The 6,360-nt window shown below is 37.3% G+C and overlaps 1 annotated feature.

Moving 5' to 3' along the window:
* Positions 4,873-6,072: an enhancer, noted in NCBI's record as "CDK7 strongly-dependent group 2 enhancer chr13:48431764-48432963 (GRCh37/hg19 assembly coordinates)". NCBI's record gives its function as "activates an origin of replication core promoter dependent on BRD2, BRD4, P300/CBP, MED14 and CDK7 cofactors, with strong dependence on CDK7, by STARR-seq in HCT116 cells {active_cell/tissue: HCT116}" and the evidence as "EXISTENCE:reporter gene assay evidence [ECO:0000049][PMID:35650434]".

The following is a 6,360-nucleotide window of genomic DNA, read 5'->3' as shown; positions in this document are numbered from 1 at the left end:
GTCTCGCTCTGTCACCCAGGCTGGAGTGCAGTGGTGATCTCGGCTCACTGCAAGCTCCGCCTCCCGGGTGGGTTCATGCCATTCTCCTGCCTCATCCTCCGGAATAGCTGGGACTACAGGCGCCCGCCACCACGCCCGGCTAATTTTTTTGTATTTTTAGTACAGACGGTGTTTCATCATGTTAGCCAGGATGGTCTTGATCTCCTGACGTCGTGATCCGCCCGCCTCAGCCTCCCAAAGTGCTGGGATTACAGACGCCAGCCACCGCGCCCGGCTGAGGTTGAACATTTTAAAAAATATACCTCTTGGCCATTTGTGTGTCTTCTTTTAAAAAATGTCTATTCATGTCATTTGCCCAAGTTTTAATGGCGTTTTTTTAGTTGTTGTTGGGTTGTTTGAGTTCCTTGTAGATTATGAATATTAGTTCCCTGTTGGATAAATAGTTTGCAAATATTTTTCCATTCTGCAAATTGTCTGTCCTTCCGCTGATTCTTTTTATGTGCAGAAGTGCATTAGCTTAATTAAATCTCATTTGTCTAATTTTTTGTTGCCTGTGCTTTTGAGGTCTTAGTCATAACTTCTTTGCATTGGCCAATGTTCAGAAGAGTTTTCCCGAGATTTTCCTCTAGTAATTTTATAGTTTCGGCTCTTACATTTCATCCTGAGTTGATTGTTATGTATAGTGAGAGATGGGGTCTAGTTTCATTCTTATGCATATGGCAATCCAATTTTCACAGCACCATTTATTGAAAACAGTGTCATTTCTCACAGGGAGGGGAACATGACACACTGGGGCCTGTTGGGGGGTGGGGGACTAGGGTAGGGATAGCATTAGGAGAAATACCTAAGGTAGATGATGGGTTGATGGGTGCAGCAAACCACCATGGCACGTGTATACGTATGTAACAAACCTGCATATTCTGCACACTTACCCCAGAACTTAAAGTATAATAATAAAAAAAAGGAAAACAGTGTCATTTCTCCAATGTATATTCTTTTCAGCTTTGTCAAAGATCAGTTGGCTGTAAATATATGGTTTTATTTTTGGGTTCTCTATTCTGTTCCATTGGTCTATGTATTTTATACCAGTACCATGCTGTTTTGGCTACTAAATCCTTGTCATATAATTTGAAGTCAGGCAGTGTGACTATAGCTTTTTTCTTTTTGCTTAGGATTGATTTGGCTATCAGATACTTTTTGGGGTCCATTTGAATTGTAGGATTGTTTTTTCTGATTATGTGAAAAACGATATTGGTATTTTGATAGGGGTTGCATTGAATTCATATATTGCTTTGGTCAGTATGGTCATTTTAACAATATTAGTCCACAAGCATTGGATATTTTCCCATTTGTTTATGTCATTTACAATTTCTTTCATCAGTGTTTTGCTCCTTGTACAGATCTTTTACCTCCCTGGTTAAATTTATTCCTAGGTACTTTATTTTTTGCAGCTATTATAAAGGGAATTGCTTTCTTGATTTCCTTTTTAGCTAGGTCATTATTGAGGCATTAATGGATCATTATTGGACCATTATTATTTAGTAAAGTTGCAGGATACAAAATCCACATACAAAAATAAGAAGCATTTCTGATTTTTGTATGTTGATTTTGTAACCTGCAACTTCGCTAAATTCATATATCAAATCTAAGAGTTGTTTGGTGGAGTCTTTAGGTTTTTCTAGATGTAAGATTGTATTGTTAGCAAACAGGGTAATATGACTTGTTTTTTAATTTGGATGCCCTTTCTTTCTTTCTCTTGCCTGATTGCTCTGGCTAGGACTTCCAGCACTATGTTGCATGTACTGGAAGTCCTAGCCAGAACAGTGGTGAAAGTGGGTATACTTATCTTGTTCCGGTTCTTAGAGGAGAAAGGCTTTCAACTTTTCCCTATTCAGTATGATGTTGACTGTGGATTTTCATATATGGCTTTTAGTATTTTGAGGTATGTTCCTTTTGTGCCTAGTTTTTTGGGGGTTTTTATCATGAAGGAATGCTAAATTCTATCACATGCTTTTTCTGTGTCTATTGAGATGACTATATGGCTTTTGTGCTTCATTCTGTTTATGTGATGAATCCCATTTATTGATTTGCATATGTCAAACCATCCTTATGTCCCTGGTATAAAGCCCATTTGATCATAGTGTGTTACCTTTTTAATGTCCTGTTGGATTTTGTTTGCTAGCATTTTGATGATGATTTTTGTGTCTATGTTCATCAGGGATATTGGTGTGTCTTTCTTTTTTTGTTGTGCCTTTGTCTTGTTTTGCTGATACTGGTCTCATAGAATGAGTTAGGGAGAATTCCATTCTCCTCAATGTTTTAGAACAGTTTTAGGAGGATTGGTATTAGTTCTTCTGTGTATGTTTGGTAGAATTCAGCTGTGACTTCATCTGGTCCTGGGCTTTTTATTGTTGTTGGTAGATTTTTTTATTAGTGATTCAATCTCAGCTTGTTATTTGTCTGTTCAGGTTTTCTATTTCTTCTTGGCTCAATCTTGGGAGGATTTATGTTTCCAGGAATTTATCCATTTCCTCCAGGTTTCATGTTTGTGAGTGTACAATGCTTCATGATAGTCTCTAATAATCTTTTGTATTTCTGGTATCAGCTGTAGTGTTTTCTTTTTCATTTCTGATTTTGTTTATTTGGGTCTTCTCTCTTCTAGCTAGTGGTTTATGAGTTTTCTTTATCTTTTAGAAGAACCAAGTTTTTGTTTCATTAATCCTTTGTATTGTTTTTTGGTCCTATTTAATTTAGTTCTGCTCTGATCTTTGTTATTTCTTTTTTTTTCTGCTAATTTTGGGTTTGGTTTGTTCTTGCTTTTTTAGTTATTTGAGGTGGGTTGCTAGATTGTTAATTTGTAATCTTTCTACTTTTCTGATGTAGGCATGTAATGCTATAAACTTTCCTCTTAGCACTGCTTTTGCTGTATTGGGGGGTGGGTCAATTGAAAAGTCTATGCTTTGTCCCATTATAGAACCACATTCTGGCAGTGCATGATTTAAAAATTTTTATTTATTAATTAAATTAGTAATTCATTCTCATAATATAAAATATAAAAGGTTTAAGTGCAACAAAATGAAAAAATAGATCTCCTTTCCATCTCTGTCTCCCAGCAACCCTGTTTCAATATAGCTTTGATATATATTCTTAAGGTAGAAACATAACATACTATGTAAATTGTTCTGCACTTTATTTTTAATTTTTTCTTAACAATATGTTTTGGAACTTACTCCATATTGGTATATAAAGATGTACTTAGTTTTTTAGTAGCTGTGTTGCATTGCACACATTTGCACTATTTTGTTTAACCCATCTGCTCTTGGTAGACATTTAAGTGGTTTTAATATTCTATACCATGCTGTAATGAAGGCTCATATATCTGTCATTTTATACTCGCATGGGAGTAACTCTAGGACATAGTCCTAGAAGTGGTTCATGGAGGCCAAAAGGCACATACATTTGTAATAGAGATCAGTGTGAGCACATTGGTCTCCATGGAGTTTTTACTCCCACCATCAAGCTATATAAGAGTGCCTGTTTCCTACGCCTTCCCTAACAGAATGTTATCAAACTTTTTTTCGTATTTTCAAATTTAATAGGTAAAAATGATGCCCTAGTGTTCTTTCAACTTGCATTCTCTTATTAGGTATAAGGTTGGGCATCTGTTTATATGTTTGAGCCACTTCCACTTCCTTGACCTTAAGCTATCAGTTCATATCTTTTGTCCACTTTTTCATTGGCTTGTTGTTTTTTATTAAATTATAGAAGCTCTTCATATATTAAGAAAAGCAATGTTTAGTCACTTAAATGAGTTGTAGATTTTTTTCTTATTTGTTATTTGTCTTTTGATTTTAATTATGGAGGATTTTTGCCTTGTAGAAATGTTATACTTTCATTTGTTTAAATATATCAACAATATCCTTTCTGCTTCTGCATTTCGTATAATACTTTAAAAATATTTAAACTCAAACAATGAAATCATAAATGTACTTGAAAAAGCTATGGAATAATTTTTAAAAACTGCTTTTGGCCTCAGGTACTATAGATTTAAAGCATATACATTTGGCCTCTTATACTTGATGCACACCACACATCTCCTTGCGGATTCTAAAGGGGTTGCTGATTCTTTGGTTGAGACACTGTAGTTCTCAGTCCCTGGAAATTCCAGAAGCAACAGCCTATAAGAAGCTAACGAAGGCATTAGTGCTTGATATGTTACTGCTGACCTGGGACTAGTTAAAACTGCAGCAGTGTGTTACACCTTCAATAAAAGGAATGGTGACAAATTGCTGCTATGAATTTCTCAGAACCATCTGGAAGAAATTTGAGGTTGACTTGAAGGAGGAAAAATCTTTAGGAGAAAGTATGCTGCCTCTGGTGGGAAAAAAAAAATCTCACTATGGGCAAAAATTCCTGCATCATCTTTGCATGTAATTGAAGTGAAAATACTTTTAGCCTGAGTTATTTAGCTAACTGCTTCAATTTTCTACCTGGCATGTCAGTTAAGATATGAAGCATATGAACTGATAGCTATGATGTGAATAAATGCCTAGTTCTAGTGATGATTGAAATAATGGAAGTGCAGGGGACCATGAAGATCAAGTCCTTTTCTTTTTTGATTATTTATTTAGCAAATATTTGGGGTCTACTGTATGTACAGCTTTGTACTGAAAAGTGGTCACAATTCTGTCCTCGAGAAGTGGCAGTTTAACTAGGGCTTCTGAAATGTGAATATGTTGGTAAGCCTGTCCAGCACGAAGCCAGATGGTGGCTTTCTGTTCCTTGATAATCCTACGTACAAAAGGTGAAGTCTAATTTCCGTTCATGTGAGTGTGAACATAAGCTGTACTTGGTGACTCACTTCTAACTAACAGAATGTGGTGGGAGTGATGTCCTAATCTAGGTCATAAAAAGGATACAGCTGAGAAATGGAACTAAGTTTTGTTGGAATAATAGTTCTGGATCTCTAACTCAAATCACATTCTAGCTGAACAGACAAATCTTTTAATCTAGTTGAAGTTGATGTAACCCAGTTGAGCCGTGCTAGACTATAAAGCTTGGTCAGTCCAGGTCTGGGGAATGGTGAGAGTGACAACTTAGATTAGACTTGGCGAAGGTTCTTTAGCTAGCTAGCAGTGCAAAGATACACAAAAGATGAAGGCTACATGCTGGTATTGGTGGATGTGGCTTCTCAATATCTTCTTTGTCCCTTGTGGAAATGTTCTGTCCAAAGTTCAGAGGTCTCAGCCATGTGCAGTGAAGCAAGAATGGGTCTAGTCAGAGGAGCTTGTGAATTTATAATTATTTGCTGCACTACAGTTAAATAACTAAATTCTAGAATGTATCTTAGCTTGGGTTCCCCAGAAAGCAGAGCCTGAGGCAAAGATTATGTGCTCTTATGCTATCAAGGAGTGCAATTCCCCAGAGCACATGAGGAACAAGAGGAAGAGACAGGGAATGACAGGGATAGAGAGCCATTTGAGGTATCCACTGTGATCATCGCTTGATCTCAGTGGAACCATGTTTCAGGAGGTCATAGAAAGGACTGCCTCTTTTGATCGTCCACTGAGGGAGAATTATTAAAAAGTCATCTGCTGTCTCCATTTCCCTGGATCCAAGATTTTCATCATGGGACATTAATTCCCCAAGGACGTCCAGGTTGCATGTATATGGGTGCCGCTGAGACCCACGATGTCTCATGCCTCTATGCCAACAGTGCAACCATAGGGCAGGAAGTGAGAATGGGAGGCACAGGCATGAGATGAAATCCTGATGGATTGTGATCCCTGGTCACAATGTCTTCAGCAAATGTCTGTTGATATTCTCTTTCAATGCTTTCTACCTGCCTGGTTTCTTATACATATATCCCTTTCCTTATTGGCTTTTTAACTCTAAACTATTTTTGTATCACAGTTATGGCTATTACAGTTGACCTAGTATTTATAGTTATTAAAATCAAAATTAGTTACAATTAATCTCATAGCACACCACCCTAGGATTTTTTTCTCACTGGGTGTGAATTTCCAAAAAAAGAAGCTCAGGGTAGGTCAAAGAAATAACTTGCTGATTCAGAGGCTTCCAAACGCCGGTACCGGGCTGGGGAACGTTATAGATCACACTTCCTGTAAATATCCAAACTGCTTAGAAATAGACTGTTCCCTACACAGTACAGTATGAGAGTCACTGCAAGTTCTCTAAATTAAAAAAAAAAATCAATGGATTAGCTGACCATATGTCCCAGACCCACAATCTGGTCACAGTTCATGGAGAACAGGCTACTAGCTGCTAGTTTGAAGTTACTGGTGACAAGTGAGGCCTGGGAGGATCTGAAGAGTGCTGTAGGAGCCGTCCTTGCACACA

The sequence above is a fragment of the Homo sapiens genome, chromosome 13 (genome assembly GCF_000001405.40).
Source record: "Homo sapiens chromosome 13, GRCh38.p14 Primary Assembly".
Lineage (NCBI taxonomy): Eukaryota > Metazoa > Chordata > Mammalia > Primates > Hominidae > Homo > Homo sapiens.
The sequence above is the reverse complement of the archived record's forward strand: the minus strand, read 5'-3'. Positions and strand labels throughout refer to the sequence as shown.